This window comes from Homo sapiens, chromosome 16, assembly GCF_000001405.40.
Source record: "Homo sapiens chromosome 16, GRCh38.p14 Primary Assembly".
In the NCBI taxonomy this organism is placed as follows: Eukaryota; Metazoa; Chordata; class Mammalia; order Primates; family Hominidae; genus Homo; species Homo sapiens.
The window spans coordinates 4,502,113-4,517,271 of record NC_000016.10 but is presented as its reverse complement, the minus strand read 5'-3'; the positions used below and the strand labels follow the sequence as shown (position 1 = coordinate 4,517,271).

The 15,159-nt window shown below is 51.5% G+C and overlaps 2 protein-coding genes across 17 annotated transcripts in view, besides 3 other annotated features; one reads left to right on the top strand and one right to left on the bottom strand.

The window, feature by feature from the left end:
- Window positions 1-6,603, top strand: part of CDIP1 (cell death inducing p53 target 1) — a 28,105-nt gene extending 21,502 nt beyond the window's left edge. For 4 of the 6 annotated variants that reach the window (NM_013399.3, XM_047434044.1, NM_001199054.2 and 1 more), the window contains 5 exons: window positions 2,608-2,697; window positions 3,128-3,226; window positions 3,421-3,576; window positions 4,208-4,481; window positions 4,589-6,603. In NM_013399.3, coding sequence (NP_037531.2) covers window positions 3,142-3,226; window positions 3,421-3,576; window positions 4,208-4,481; window positions 4,589-4,700 — 627 coding nt within the window. In that variant the 5' untranslated portion in view covers window positions 2,608-2,697; window positions 3,128-3,141 and the 3' untranslated portion in view covers window positions 4,701-6,603. The remainder of the gene's footprint in view (window positions 1-2,607; window positions 2,698-3,127; window positions 3,227-3,420; window positions 3,577-4,207; window positions 4,482-4,588) is intronic. The other 2 variants (NM_001199056.2, NM_001199055.2) reach the window with 2 other exon arrangements.
- Window positions 2,473-3,000: an enhancer, noted in NCBI's record as "H3K4me1 hESC enhancer chr16:4564273-4564800 (GRCh37/hg19 assembly coordinates)". NCBI's record gives its function as "activates a minimal SCP1, AML or CMV promoter by ChIP-STARR-seq in naive H9 embryonic stem cells {active_cell/tissue: H9 hESC(naive)}" and the evidence as "EXISTENCE:reporter gene assay evidence [ECO:0000049][PMID:30033119]".
- Window positions 3,001-3,527: an enhancer, noted in NCBI's record as "H3K4me1 hESC enhancer chr16:4563746-4564272 (GRCh37/hg19 assembly coordinates)". NCBI's record gives its function as "activates a minimal SCP1, AML or CMV promoter by ChIP-STARR-seq in naive and primed H9 embryonic stem cells {active_cell/tissue: H9 hESC(naive and primed)}" and the evidence as "EXISTENCE:reporter gene assay evidence [ECO:0000049][PMID:30033119]".
- Window positions 3,528-4,055: an enhancer, noted in NCBI's record as "H3K4me1 hESC enhancer chr16:4563218-4563745 (GRCh37/hg19 assembly coordinates)". NCBI's record gives its function as "activates a minimal SCP1, AML or CMV promoter by ChIP-STARR-seq in naive H9 embryonic stem cells {active_cell/tissue: H9 hESC(naive)}" and the evidence as "EXISTENCE:reporter gene assay evidence [ECO:0000049][PMID:30033119]".
- Window positions 6,604-6,924: 321 nt separating the features above from the next.
- The window catches only part of HMOX2 (heme oxygenase 2), a 35,612-nt gene continuing 27,377 nt past the window's right edge, over window positions 6,925-15,159 (bottom strand). For 9 of the 11 annotated variants that reach the window (NM_001127206.3, NM_001286268.2, NM_001127204.2 and 6 more), the window contains 5 exons: window positions 11,662-11,788; window positions 10,260-10,377; window positions 9,068-9,559; window positions 7,734-7,860; window positions 6,925-7,643 (listed from right to left, as the gene is read on the bottom strand). In NM_001127206.3, the coding sequence (NP_001120678.1) occupies window positions 7,516-7,643; window positions 7,734-7,860; window positions 9,068-9,559; window positions 10,260-10,377; window positions 11,662-11,747 (951 nt within the window). In that variant the 5' untranslated portion in view covers window positions 11,748-11,788 and the 3' untranslated portion in view covers window positions 6,925-7,515. Of the gene's footprint in view, window positions 7,644-7,733; window positions 7,861-9,067; window positions 9,560-10,259; window positions 10,378-11,661; window positions 11,789-14,312; window positions 14,529-15,159 lie in introns of all 11 variants that reach the window. The other 2 variants (NM_001286270.2, NM_001286271.2) reach the window with 2 other exon arrangements.

The window sequence follows — 15,159 nt, the reverse complement described above, 5'->3', positions numbered from 1 at the left end:
GTCTCCTGATTGCCAAAGAAATGCATATAAAAATAAGTGACATTTTAATATGAAAATTAATAACTGGCACTATAAATTGGCATCCTTTCAAAAAGGCATAAAATGCTCATGTCCTTTGACCTAGTCATCTCACTCTGACAAGCTTAGCCTGAGGAGATAATCTAACAAAAGGGAAAGAGCGGTGGACAGAGGTGTTCTCTTGTATTTCATGAAAGCAGCAAGTAGGGCCTTGCCTAAATGTCTTAATAGGGTTTGGTCAAGTATGCCCATTTTGTGGAATATTAATATCAACGGTCACGGAGTCTTGTAAGATGGAATATGTGTGACACAGCATTAAAAGGATTTACCAGCCTGGTCAATGTGGTGAAATCCCTTCTCTACTAAAAAAATACAAAAATCAGCCAGTCGTGGTGCCGTGTGCCTGTAGTCTCAGCTACTTGGGAGGCTGAGGCAGGAGAATCGCTGGGACCCGGGAGGCAGACGTTGCAGTGAGCCAGGATCGCGCCACTGCACTCCAGCCTGGGCAACAGAGCAAGACTCTGTCTCACAAAAAAAAAAAAAAAAAAAAAAAAAGGATTTAAAACTGTCAGGACAGCAACTATATTTTTATATGGTATGGGCTGGGCGCAGTTGCTCCTGCCTGTAATCCCAACACTTTAGGAGGCCGAGGCAGGAGGATTGTTTGAGGCCAGGAGTTCGAGACCAGCCTGGGCAACATAGTGAGACCCCCGTCTCTACAAAACAAAACCAAAAGGTACAGGTGCCTGTGCATACAGACCAGCAGGGACATGTGGAGATGGGCTGCAGTAGGACTAATTTTCTTTTCCCTCATTTTTTTTAAAAATAAGTTTTATTGACATAATTTACGTACCATTCAATTCACCCATTTAAAGTGTACAATTCAGTGGTTTTTAGTTATTCACAGAATCGTTCAACTGTTGCTACAATCGGTTTCAGAGCATCTTCGTTACCCCAGAAGGAGATTCCATGTTCCCCATTTCCCCTCTCCCCCAGACCTAAACAGCTACTAATGTACTTTCCGTTTCTATGGGTTTGCCTATTGGGGACATTTCATATAAGTGAAATCATACAGTATGTGGCCTTTTGTGTCTGGCTTCTCTCACCAAGCATGTTTTCAGAGTTCATGCTGTAGGGTGTCAGTGCTTCCTTCCTTTTTATAGCCGAATCGTCTTCCATTGTCTGGGCAGCCTACGGTTTTGTTTATCCACTTTGTTGATGGACATTTGGGTTGTTTCCACTTTTTGGCTATTATGATTCATGCTGCTGTGAACATTTGTGTACAAATTTCTGTGTAGACAGGTTTTCATTTCTTTTGGGCAGATAACTAGGGGTGGAATTGCTGGGTCATCTGGTAACTCTAGGTTTAACCTTTTGAGGAACTGCCAGACTGTTCCTCAAAAGGGGAACAGGGGCTGGCAGTTCTTCAAAAGGTTTGCAGGGGCTGTCCCCTACCAGCAGTGTATGAGGGTTCCAGTTTTTCTACATAATGCCTATTACTGTCTTTTTAAATTTTAGCCATCCTAGTAGATAGGAAATGGTCTCCTTGTGGTTTTGGTTTTCATTTCCCTTATGAAAAGACGCTCAGTAGTTTTTCATGTGCTTTTGGCCATTTGTCTTTTGAGAAGTCTTTGTTCAAATCCTTTTAAAAATTGGGTTGTCTTTCTGTTATTGAGTTGAGTTCTTTGTATTTCTTAATACAAGTCCTTTATCAGATCTATGAATTATAAAATGTGATGGTATCCTTTGAAGCACAAGAGTTTTTCATTCTGATGACATCCACTTTAAGTTTTCTTTCTTTTGTTGCTTTGCTTTTGGTGTCATATCTAAGAAACCACTGCCTAATCGAAGGTCATAAAGATTGATGCCTGCATTTTCTTCTAACAGCTTTTTGATCTCTTTCAGTTTTCAAACTTCCATGGTACTTTATAGTTGAACCCAAGAGCTTGGACTTGGTTCCTCTGGCCCTGCCCCTGATTTGTTAAACTTTATATTCAAACTTATGTGCCCTCCATCCCCTGCAGGTGCTGGGCTGTCTGGGAAACACTCCTTTCCCTGTATTTTTTGTTCCACTGAAACTGATTTTTGTCTCATTTTATTACTTTTAGCTAAGGTAACTGAACCCCACTTCCCAAGTCCTTTATGATGCTAAGTAAGAGCAAAAGCTTCCCACCTTTCTGAGCTGTGCTCAGAGAGTTTGGTGACAGAAATGAGGGAAAAGATTTCACTTGACTCTTCTTCCCCCTGACCCCCACCTCAACAAACAAACCAGAAGGGCACAGGCCAGAGCACAGCTTGCCTGGCAGTCCAGTCCTCATGCATGGGAGCTCAGGCCTGGTGGGAGGGGAGGCAGAGGGCCCAGCCGTGGCCCTTGGGTGCCAGCAGTCCTGGGGGAGGGAGGAAGCAGACCTGCGACGGGACCGAGGAATGGAGGGGTGGTCGGGTGTGTGGATGGCAGAGTGACAGCTAGGGAGAAGCCGGATGTGGAAGGGGAGGAACTGTGTGGTATGCCCAGGCCCCTGGGCCCAGCCCTGGCTTGGCAGCCCTTGCTCCCTGCTGAGGGCCCTGCCTTTCCTTCCCCTGAAACAGCTCCCGGAGCCCTGCCTGTTCCCTGTCCATCCAGGCCAGCAGCTGAAGGAGCCTCACCTGCCTCCCTTCTCTGAGTAGCACGGATTTGAGGTAAGAAATCCCCCAGAACCCCCATTCCCAGTGCAGCCTGTGGCAGAGATCGGTCCAGTGTCTCCTCCGACTGCCTTAGTGCCCGCTAAACGTTTGGGGAGGGGAGAGCTCGGTGCCAAACTGCTCTCGTGTGGGGCAAGTGCTGAGTTAGGCTCCTTGGGGGACTTTACCTCACTGGGCCCTGCTTCCTGGGTTCTGTCCTTGCCCTTCAGCTTCCAAACAGGGAAGAGCAGGTGACTACTGAGAGGTGAGGATGGTGGCTCTGGGCTAGGTGGCCCTGGGAAAGGTGGGGGATCCCCAGTGCCTGGAGGCAGACCCTTCTGAGGATGGTCACACGCCTTGTGCAGCATCTTGGCCACCCCACAGGGCTGAAGGAGAAGGAACCTGGCTGGGAGCTTAGTTCATGTCTGGGTTTTCCCTCCATGTCCAGGAGAAGCAGCGAAGATGTCCAGCGAGCCTCCCCCTCCTTATCCTGGGGGCCCCACAGCCCCACTTCTGGAAGAGAAAAGTGGAGCCCCGCCCACCCCAGGTAGGGGGTCACTGTTCCTGAGGCTCCATATTGCAGCCCCCTGCCGCCATGGCATGGTTGGGACTCTCTAAGTGGTGATGCCCACTCCAGGGTTACCCCTGGGCCCCATCTGTGTCCCAAAACAGTGGCCTCTGGTCGAGCTCATCGTGCAGAGGCTCCAGCTCAGTCTCCTCTTTCTGCCTCTCTCTGTCCAGGCCGTTCCTCCCCAGCTGTGATGCAGCCCCCTCCAGGCATGCCACTGCCCCCTGCGGACATTGGCCCCCCACCCTATGAGCCGCCGGGTCACCCAATGCCCCAGCCTGGCTTCATCCCACCACACATGAGTGCAGATGGCACCTACATGCCTCCGGGTGAGTGGGGAAGGGATCTGAGGGGAGCATGGGGAACTCCTGGCTGCTGTCTGGCCTGCGCTGGCTGTCCTCAGTACAGGTGGGCATCTGCTGTAGGGCAGGGACTCCAACACGCCCAACCAGCCCTTGCCTAGGGCTCAGGCTGTGTGTGGACAGGGACTGTGGACGTGGGAAGGTGGGACTGCTCTTATTCAGGCTGGTCAGGAAGGGCTGGTCCTTGGCACACCAGGACCTGACATGGGTGGGGAGGGGCGCCTTGTGTGCAGGAGAGGGGTGGGTGACCCGCAAGGCTTTCCCTCTCTTGGTCATGGGCTTGAGGCTGAGTGCCCTGTCCTTGCATGCTGGAGACAGACAGAGGAGCAGAGGGACCGGGCCATGTGCCTGGCTCTCTGCCACATCTGTCATGGGCCCCAAGGGGTGGGGACCAGGAAGGGCTGGGAGAATGTGGCCCCACTTGACTTAGGGCCCCAGCTGTAAGGCCTCCCACTGGCCCGTTAGGAGGGCGGTAGGAGGTCTGAGGCGTAGCCTTGCACGCTGGGCGCTGTGGACCGTGGGGCTTTGCGCCAATCTCTTTGTCTGGTGCAGGTGGCAGGCCAGTGACCTCTCGCCTCCATCTTCTGTGCCATTCCAGGTTTCTACCCTCCTCCAGGCCCCCACCCACCCATGGGCTACTACCCCCCAGGGCCCTACACGCCAGGGCCCTACCCTGGCCCTGGGGGCCACACAGCCACAGTCCTGGTCCCTTCAGGAGCTGCCACCACGGTGACAGTGCTGCAGGGAGAGATCTTTGAGGGAGCGCCTGTGCAGACGGTGTGTCCCCACTGCCAGCAGGCCATCACCACCAAGATCTCCTACGAGATTGGCTTGATGAATTTCGTGCTGGGTTTCTTCTGTTGCTTCATGGGGTAGGTGGTGTGGGCACTGGTAGGGTGGGGGCTGCACCAGGGTCAACTGGCTGCCTCTGCCTCCTCCGCAGCAGGCCTCAGCCTGTTCTTCCCTGTCTCTGATTCAGATGTGATCTGGGCTGCTGCCTGATCCCCTGCCTCATCAATGACTTCAAGGATGTGACGCACACATGCCCCAGCTGCAAAGCCTACATCTACACGTACAAGCGCCTGTGCTAACGGAGCTGGGACTCGGGACTCCCCCGCCTGTCAGTCTGGCCCCCTGTGCTTTGCTCCCTGTGCTCAGTGGTCACTTTCCCGCTCCCACTTGGGGCTGGGAGCCGTGCCACCATCCCCTAGAAGTCCTGTCCTCTTCACCCTGCCCTACCTGAGCCGCTGACTCTTCTGGCAAAAATTCTGTTGGGATTTAAGGCCAAGGGTCAGTGGGTGGCAGGGGGCTGACAATGAGCTTGTGTGTTGTTGGTCTGCTTGGTGTGTGTGATCGGGAAGATAAGCTGGGAGGGGTCTCCTGCTGGGGTCCTGATGCCTCTGTTTCCAAACAAGGTACAGGTTCAGTCCAGACTCTTTCCCCCTGGGACCAACAGCAGCCAGAGCAGTTAGCCAGTTAGTCCCCAGGCCTGTGGCCACAGGCGTTTCTGACCTGCTGGGCCGAGAATGGGTAAGTTGTCTGGAGTCAGGTGGGCCCACGTAGGACAGGGTCACAAAGCCTGGGTTTGTTTCTGGGTACTTTGCGCCTCTGGGGTGCTAGAGGTGGGGCATGGTGGCTGGAAGTAAAACTGCCAACTCTGGCCCTCAGAACTCTCAGGTATAGAAGCCCAGGATGTCTAATACCCTGTCCCAGTGCCCGAGAGCTGCCTGGTGTCAGGTAGAGAGGACACTGTACCTGGGTGAATGATCAGACCCTGGTAGCTAAGAAGGAACTTGTCCCTTTGAGTCAGTGTGCAGACCCCCTTTCAGGCCATGCCTCTGTGAACCCTGTATTGCTGGGGCCGGAAGGAGCCCCTGAGCCTAGCCCCTTCCCGTCTGCCCTGTGTCCTCACTGCGTGTGGGTATGACCTCTGCCTGGTGGCTGGTGTATCCCAACTGGGCAAGAGATGGCAGAGGGTCCCCCTTGTGGGTGCGCTTGGATGTGCAGAGCCTTCTCCATGGATTTTCTTCCCTGTAAGTGCCGGGCCCCTCACCCCAGCTGACAGGCTGTTGCTGTGCCTGCTCACACCTGCTCCTGCAGGCACACTGGGCTAGGGACGAGGAAGGAGCAGCCACAAGTGGTAGAACTGCCTTGGTGGACACCAGCCTCGCCCTGTCTTTATTTCCTGAATGGTTTGTGAACTTGCTCACCTGGACCACTGTATCCTGCCACTGTCCTTCCTGGTCTCGCACTGCCACTGCATGGCCTCCTGTCACTGTGAATCGTGGCCCAGTCTCAGTTTGTAGTTTCTCATTAAATTGGCCCTTTCACTCCCCCGCCCTGGGCCTCTGCTCTCTTGCCTGGCTTCCTTCTTTTTTGAGGGAAAGAGGGTGGGGCTGCAGGCAGTCTACTGGCAGGACGGGAGGCTGAGTCCTCAGGGTCTCACACCCTCAGTGCTGATGCCATGCCAACTGCCTGGGACAACACCAACACGTAAGGACCTAATTAAACCAAACCAGAGTCGGGTGTAGACCAGCCCTGGGATTTCCAGCTGTGACTGGGCCAGGGCACACGTTGGTCTCGGCAGTGGCTGTAAGGTCACCTTCCTTCCTCTGATGCTGGTTTCAACCATCTATATATGGCATCCACGCATGGGATCTGCAAGCTGGAGCCCTCCTACCCGCAGGCTTGAGCACAGCATCATCCAGCCCTGGGGAGGCGCACCCTTAAGCAACACAGACTGGGCTGAGGCTGACAGGCAGAAGACTAACAGAGCGCAGTCTGCACACGCAGGTTCTGGGCGACCTCTGGCCCTGGCCATCTCTGCACTAACTCATCTGAATTATGAAGGTGGCAGTCTTGGTCAGTAGTTTAAAGAGTTTCCCTACTTTTTAACCCTTTTTGAAATAAAACTTTTACAGGTAGTAGATTCCTATTAATAAAATTATTTAAGTTCATGTTTCTCTTTTAGAGAATGAATTGTTTAAATACAAATATGTGCTTTTTTAAAACCCTTATTTTTAAATATATATATATATTTTAAAAAAACCTTTTAAGTAGGAAACCTCTAAGGTATTTCTGAGCTAAAAAATAGCAGTGCTGGATACACTTTAAAGATCTTTGCAAGACGGTTAGAGTGACTTTGCTTTGGAGACTAGAGGTGCTGGAGAGTAGACCCAGAGCAGGAGGTGGCTGCTGGGAGCCATGATGGACGATGTCCACTCCCCACACAGACATAACATGCCCTTGCTTCTGAGGGACTCTCCTATGGGGAGGTGGCTTGACCCACCCGGTGCCAGGAGGCAGGGAAGGAGGTAGCTTGCAAAGCCCACTTTATTGAGTGCTGGAGCATTTACACAGCGCGGAGGAGGAGATAAGCTGGGGCTGAGCAAACCGCACCCAAGGGGTTAGAGGGATTCTGGGTGAGAGGGATGAGCTCCCAAGGCCTCTGAGGCTTCCACCCACACCCACCCTCACTCCCAGGGTCCAAGAGAGGCCCAGAAGTTGTACAGCAGCATCCAGCAAGGCCCCCTCGCACAGCTTGGACTTACAGGCCACTCACCTCCAACAGGGGAGATAGTCACCCATGTACTGCAAAAACAGGGACTACCGGAAGCAGCCTAGGGCCCAGAAGTGTGGAAGCCTGGAGTAGAGCTGGGTCGGGGGCCAGGCTTGCTGCACTGTGCCGACTGCTCCCAGGGTGACGGCCTGTGCCCAGTGCGGAATATGGCCCATAGAGAGGATGCTGTCAGGCAGAGGCTCTAGCATCTGGCTTTTATTGGTTGCCTTTCTTAAACCCAGCATTTTTTAAAAAGTCACCTGAGGTGGTAGTTTAGTCAGGGCTGGAGAAAGGGGTAGGCCAGTGGTCAGTCGGGAGGAGGGTACCGGTGTGGCATGATGGGTGCTTCACATGTAGTACCAGGCCAAGAGTCCAGCAGCTAGGGCCACACCAGCGGCCAGGATGAACTGGAGGCTGGGCTTCCTCAGCACAGCCATAGCTGTTCGGAAGGGACAGCTGCTGCCCTCCAGGGCACCTGTGTGGCAGCACCAATAGGAGACATGGCATCAGTGGAGTCTCCTGCTACACCTGCCCCAGGAGGGGAGCTCAGGACACACAGACCTACCTTTGTCTTGTTCAGCAGCGTAGAAAGGGCATTTACGCATGTCTCCTTTCCCATCGTGTACAGGGAACCCATCCTCCAAGGTCTCTCTGGCCAGTGTGGAGCCGGCCTGGTCCAGTTCATTGAATATCTGCAGGAGCAGAGGATCGACTGAGCCATCTTTGGGCTGCCCATACTTTTTTTTTTTTTTTAAATGTCTTTTGAGATGAGGTCTCTGTTGCCCAGGCTAGAGTGCAGTGTTATGAACATGGCTAACTCACTGCAGCCTCAAACTCCTAGGCTCAAGTGGTCCTCCCACCTTATCCTCCTACGTGTGTGTACCACCATACCTGGCTAATTTTTAAATTTTGTGGGGAGATGGTGTCTCACCTTGGTTGCCCAGGCTGGTCTTCAACTCCTGGGGTCAAGTAATGCCCCTGCCTCAGCCTCCCAAAGTGCTGGGATTACAGGCATGAGCTACTGCGCCTGGCTACACTCTCCTTTTAGAGGACGCCCTCCAGAGAGAGTGAGCTGGAGCAGGTGAGCTTGCTCAGGTGTGCCAACTACACAGCAAGCAGCACTGGTGGGCGGCAGCTGCACTGCCTGATGGTCTTCCCTCCCTAGCAAGAGCTCTGGGGAGGTGTGGATATTGGTACCCCAAGAAGGCTGCCAAATGCTGGGTCTCCCCTGGGAACTGACCAGAGATGTAGCCTTCTCTGAGGTGGCTCAAGCCACTGAAACTACCACAGCACAGACAGGAGGGCATGAGTACATCCCCATTTCTAGGTGCTGGTTATTTTTTTATCAAGAAGCAACAGAAAACCTGGAACATGGGAGAATGAGACTGTGGCAGGGCATACTCATCCTGAGTGCCCTGGGAGGCCTCAGTGGAAGCTGACAGGACCTGGGGACAGAGTAAGCTTCCCCAGGTTCAGCCTCATCTAAAGGCTACTTGTAAACAGAGCTTATTTACTCTCCTTGGTGGCACTGGCTCTCTATTAACTTATAAAGCAGGGCTTCTCAGAGCAAAACTTGAAAAGAAAATTAACCATTCTTCAAGACCAGCATCCTGCAATGAGGGAGGAAGCCAGCTCCATTCTTCCAGACCCCTCTATGTGCGAGAGGACTCACCCTTCCCAAAACACTACCCACTGGCATCTATCACACCAGGCCTCCATGCTGGGAACCACCCACTGGGCCCACAAGCTCTGGTGGCCAATCTGGTGGCCACCTTCCTCTCGGCACCCTGCAGCTCATCTGTCCTAATGCCATGTGTGCCTTCATGGGCCACTATGGATCTGCTACCACTGTCAAAGTTTCCCTCTTCAGCCCTAGCAGCTGGCAGCCCCCAATAGTACCTGCATGTTATACTCAAAAGCCTTGTTGGCCTCCTCCACGATCCTCTCTTTGGTCTTCATGTTCAGGTCCAGGGCGTTCATCCTGGCCCGGTAGAGCTGCTTGAACTGCTGGGCATTGTCCACATTCTCAAACAGGTAGAACTGGGTCCCTTCCCCTGTGCTGGGGAGTTTCAGTGCTCGCTGGGCCACCTTCTTCAGCACCTGGCCCCCCGAGAGATCCCCCATGTAGCGGGTGTATGCATGGGCCACCAGTAGCTCCGGCTCGTTCTGCCCTATGTAGTGGATCCGCTCCACGTACTTCTGGGCAGCCTTGGGGCACTGCACCTGCTCCTCCCAGTTTTCACCAAAGAAATACTCCATGTCCTTGGTCAGCGCCTCCTTCCGGTGCAGCTCCATGGGGAAGTACAAAGGGGCAAAGGCTGGATGGTCCTTGTTGCGCTCCATTTCCTCCTCGAGGGCTGAGTATGTGAAGTAAAGTGCCGTGGTGGCCAGCTGTGGAGGTGACAGGAGGAGGCCAGCTATGCCTGAGCACACCACATCCGAGCAGCTGGATGCAGAGGCTCAAGTGACAACCCCCAACCCCAAAGACCCAATCCTATGGTCCATTTTTATGTAGTGAATTATTTAACACACAAGGAAGCTTTTGTTTCTTAAAGGAATGGCATGGTGAAGTCTTTGGAACACGCATACTTTTGCTTCCTTCACACCACTATGTTATTCTATCTAAGCCATGAGAACCAATTTTTTTTTTTTTTGGCGGGGTAAAGAGTCTCGCTCTGTCACCCAGGCTGGAGTACAGTGGGACGATCTCGGCTCACTGTAACCTCCGCCTCCCAGGTTCAAGTGACTCTCCCACCTCAGCCTCCCAAGTAGCTGGGAGTACAGGCACGCGCCACCACACCCGGCTAATTTTTGTATTCTTAGTAGAGACAGGGTTTCACCATGTTGGCCAGGCTGGTCTCAAACTCCTGGCCTCAAGTGATCCACCTGCCTCGGCCTCCCAAAGTGCTGGGATTACAGACATGAGCCACTGTACCCAGCCGAGAGCCAGAGCTTAACGTCAAGAAGGAATGGAGTGTGGAGAAAAGCCCAGCTTTTCCCTCAGAGTGGCTCCAGGGGCACTTTTCTCATGGGACCAAGGCCCCCACCCCAACCCCATATGACAGTCTGGAACCCAATGCGGGGCACAAACCTTAAACAGCTCCTTCTTAATGTTGCCTTTCAAGAAGTCCTTGACAAACTGGGTGTTTTCTGCCCGGTCGTGTGCTTCCTTGGTCCCTTCCTTCAGGAGCTCCGAGAGGTCAGCCATTCTGTGGAGAGATGGGAGGTGTTTGTGTGTCAATTAGCCCTTCCCAGCTTTCCAGAAAGGACCATAGAGAGAAGATTGAGTCCACACCCCAAGGTGACCACCTGTTGTACTGGAGGCTGGGGCTTCTCAGACACTTCACTCCAACACAAATAGCAGCAACTTGTCAGGGAACACAGGACAAGCAGACATGACATTCTGCTCCAAGGACTCAGGACACAAGGGATAACTGTGGCCTGCTCCTTGAGAGTAGTACCCACGTCCATGTGTCTGTGTTGGGAACCACCCAAATGAGCAATGCTTTGCTTCTGTGGCCACCTAGTGGTCGAAGAGACACACATCTGTATTCCCTTCAGTATTTGCTGGCTTCTCTAAGAACAGCCTGCCTTGGAACGTGTCTTCTGGAATTCACACACCTCAGTAAGGCTGTGACCATGGGTCTCCTCAGATGGCCCTACTGCCTTCCTCCCACCTTGGACCCACAGCTTCTTTGAGACTATATGTGACTAGGACCAAGCACGGAAGGATGCAAAGGAGACAACCGAGAGGCTAGGGCCAGGACGCTGGGTTTGTGCTGCTTAACGAAATTACACAGTTGTAAAGGTGTGTGGATGGATGGACAAGGTAGAAAACATGTGATCCTAAAGATGGTGGTACTTGGGCAGGGGCTTACATGTGTCCACACAATCCATCTACAAGAGTGAGAAAAATTTGGCCTTATCATGGTCTGGCTTCTGCTGTCTTCTTTAGGAGATTAGCTCGTTATCATCCATGTGCTGAGAATCAATTTATTATTAGCAATTATTTCAAGGGATAAAAAAAAAACTTGGCCAATGACAGGGCTATGAGAGGCTAATGATGCAGAACAGGGCCTGGAAGCTCAGGTTTAGCATGAGCTGTCCCTATACAGAGTAAGGAAAGGCTGCCCTGCAGTCTTTTATGTGGTAAAAGACTGAACAGAGCCAGCTTTGCCTGCGTTTACCCTTTCTCAGCCCAGATGAGGAAACGCACAAGTTTTTAAAAAGAAAAAAGGATAACTACCATCAAATCCTATCAGCACTCCCAGGAGCACCTGCCCTGCCTCCTTGGATGAGACAATGGACCAGTGGGGAGAGTTCTAAGCAGCCGAAGCTGTATGCGGTCCCTGCAGGGCCAAGCAGGCACCCAGGGGTCCAGAGCTCATGGCCCATGGCCACTCCCCAGTGCTGCCAACAGACAAAACCAGGTGTGCTGAGCACGACAGGTGCTGGGCCCACCTGATTCAGTGCAGCCAGCCCCCATCGCTCACCTCATTTGGTTCTCCTTTTCTAGGGCCCCAGAGTTCTTTTTTTCTGACTCGTCTACCCCCTCTGAGGTTTCCACTTCCGCTGACATTGCTGCTGGGTGTGGTTCTTGCTGCTCTCGCTCCTCTGGTCCTGCAGAGACACAAGGAGCTGGTGATGTGGCACCCACGGCAGTCACTTCCCCAAATACCTGTCGGTTCTGCTTTCCTCAGAGCGAATGTAACCAAGGTGACACCCACACACCCCAGGATTGTTTTCTTTAAAATAAAGCTCTGCCATTACTGGGACCATAGTGGAATATGGAAAAAATCTGAATATGAACAATGTATTAGGTAATAGCATTGTATTGACATTAAGCTTGCTGGTTTTTAAAAATAATTGTACTGCGATTATATAAGAGAATGTCTTTGTTCCTAAGAAATACACACTGGGGTATTCAGAAGTAAAGGTACACTGCCTGCAACTCCCTGTCAGATGGTTCAGAAGACAGTGTGTGTGCATGTGCATATGCTGCAGGGTGGGGGACACTGGCAAGTCAGAAAAGCAAACAAGGCAAAATCCTAGCAGTGAATCTGGGGAAGAGGTATGAGAGTTCTTTGTACTATTCTTACCATTTTTCTGTATGCTTAAAACTGTATCAAGGCAGGGCACAGTGGCTCATGCCTGTAATCCCAGCACTTTGGGAGGCCGAGGCAGACTGGAGTTTGAGACTAGCCTGGTTAACATGGTGAAACCCTGTCTCTACTAAAAATACAAAAAATAGCCGGGCATGGTGGTGCACACTTGTAATCCCAGCTACTCGGGAGGCTCAGGCAGGAGAATCTCTTGAGCCCAGGAGGCAGAGGTTGCAGTGAGCCGAGATCACGCCGTTGCACTCCAGCCTGGGCAACAAGAGCGAAACTGTCTTAAAAAAAAAAAAAAAAAAAAAAAAAAGACCGTATCAAAATTAAAAGTTAGGCCAGACACGGTGGCTCATGCCTGTAATCCCACCACTTTGGGAGGCCAAGGTGGGTGGATCACCTGAGGTTAGGAGTTTAAGACCAGCCTGACCAACATGGAGAAACCCTGTTTCTACTAAAAATGCAAAATTAGCCGGATGTGGTGGCGCGTGCCTGTAATCCCAGCTACTCAGGAGGCTGAGGCAGGAGAATCACTTGAACCTACGAAGCAGAAGTTGCAGTGAGCCAAGATCGCGCCACTGCACTCCAGCCTGGGCAATAAGAGTGAAACTCTGTCCAAAAAAAAAAAAAAAAAAAAAAAATTGAAAGTTACCAAAAACAAAGAAAACCTCAAAAACCTTAGGGAAACAAAAAGCTTGGCAAGCAACGCACAGTTCCACCCCTCTGCAAGCGTGCTGAGGCCAGTTCATCCTACCTGTGAGAGGCTGGGTGCCTTGTGCAGAAGGCAGCCTACAGGAGTTACCAAAAAAGCAGACTGTCCCTAGCCTACTCAGGACTTTGCTAGGCTGAAGGAAATATTAAGTTGGCCAATCAATTCCCATTGCCTGCTGCAAATGCTGAGCCTTTGTCAGCCAGGGAAACACAGTCCCATAACAAGGCAAGCTCATCCTCCATCCCTCGGGGCTTCTGCTCAGGCAATGTAAGGCGCAGCCCATTTGGGGAATCTTCCACATGAATAGCAGCACAGTAGCACCGACAACTAATAAAGTAACTCACAAAGACAGAACTGGGGCCAAATCAGGCCAAACTGGGCCAAGGAAAAAGAACTTATTTACTGAGCATTTTCTATGTGCTCTACCCAGAAACAGGTGTCAAGAAGAACACAGAAGTGTTAAGAAATGGTCCTTAAAAGGCCCAAGGCACATATCCTTCCTGAGTTTTCTCTAGATACCTAGTTACATTTTTGTTATCTTTTAGGATATTATAGTACATGGTTTGCTCACTGAGGTCTTTTTGAACCATCTCTCTCACCTTTAGATTTAGCATCTCTACTGGGATTATTTTAGGAAGTCAAGCAATAACTCATATAGCACAATGCCTACCATGTGATAAGCACTCAATGAATGTTACATCATGATCATACTTTATTTTGACTGAGGCTTAGTGATGTCTGAGAACACTCAGAAAATAAACATCGGGATGTACAGAAAAATGGAACCTTCTCTTGACTCCAAATCAGAGACACTCTACTCTGCAATAATGCTGATGAACTGTACGATGCACAGCACAGTCTAGAAGAATGTGAAAGCAGGCAGGTATTACATGCAGGGAAGAGTATGCAGAGGGCTTCCTGGGGCAGGACCCTCAACACAGACAGGATTTGGGGCAGGGCTGGGGGAGGGCCTCCAGATCAAGGGAATATTATGAACAAAGCCAGAAATGGGTAGTTCACAGAGATAGCATAAGGCTGCCCAGCTGTGCGTCCACTTACCAAGGGGCAAAAACAGGCATTGCAAGCTGTAGAATAAGCCTCACATGGGCCTTCAGACCTTGATTTATAAATGTTTTCTTTTTTTTTTTTGGTAAAAGTACAGCTTTGCTAGCCGGGCGCGGTGGCTCACGCCTGTAATCCCAACACTTTGGGAGGCCGAGGTGGGCAGATCAGGAGGTCAGGAGTCCGAGACCGGCCTGGCCAACATGGTAAAACCCTGTCTCTACTAAAAATACAAAAATTAGCCAGGCATGGTGGCACACACCTGTAATCCCAGCTACTCAGGAGGCTGAGGCAGGAGAATCGCTTGAACCTGGGAGGCGGAGGTTGCAGTGAGCCGAGATGGAGCCACTGCACTCCAGCCTGTAATCCCAGCTACTTGGGAGGCTGATGTAGGAGGATTTCTTGAGCCTGGGAGACAGAGGTTGCAGTGAGTCGAGATCATGCCACTGCACTCCAGCCTGGCCGACAAAGTAAGACTCTGTCTCAAAAATAAATAAATAAAATACTTTAAATAATAAGAACAGCTTTGCTGTACACCCTTGAGGACCCTGAGAGCCAAAATTTGTCTCTGGCTGCTCAGTTCTCAGGCAGCAGAGAAAAAGGTGCTGGGATGAAAACACTGAGCTATCTAGAGGAGGGAGGGGTGCAGTAAAGGGTCCTGGAGCCTCTAGATGGGTGATGGAAGTAAAGGACCAGGCTGAGGGCACACACACACCAGGCTGAGGGTCCAGGTACCCCAGGACCACAGGCCCCATGCTTCTTACAGGCAAAATGAGGCAAAGACAAGTGCCATCCATGGCCCAGGTTACCAACTGCAGTAACTTCAGCGTGCTTCTTGCCATTTGCACCTACTTATCATGCTGCACAACAGTGATAGGGAACGTGATTAAATCTCATTAACTGTGTTTTACTCAATAATAACTGCATGCTCTGGGAGAGTATAGTCTTGCTTAATTAAACAACAAGTCCTTGTGCTTCTCCGAAAAATACAAAAAGGAGCCAGGCACAGTGGTTCGCACCTATAATCCCAGCATTTAGGGAGGCCGAGGTGGGCAGATCACCTGAGGTCAGCAGTTCGAGACCAGCCTGGCCAACATGGTGAAAGCCCA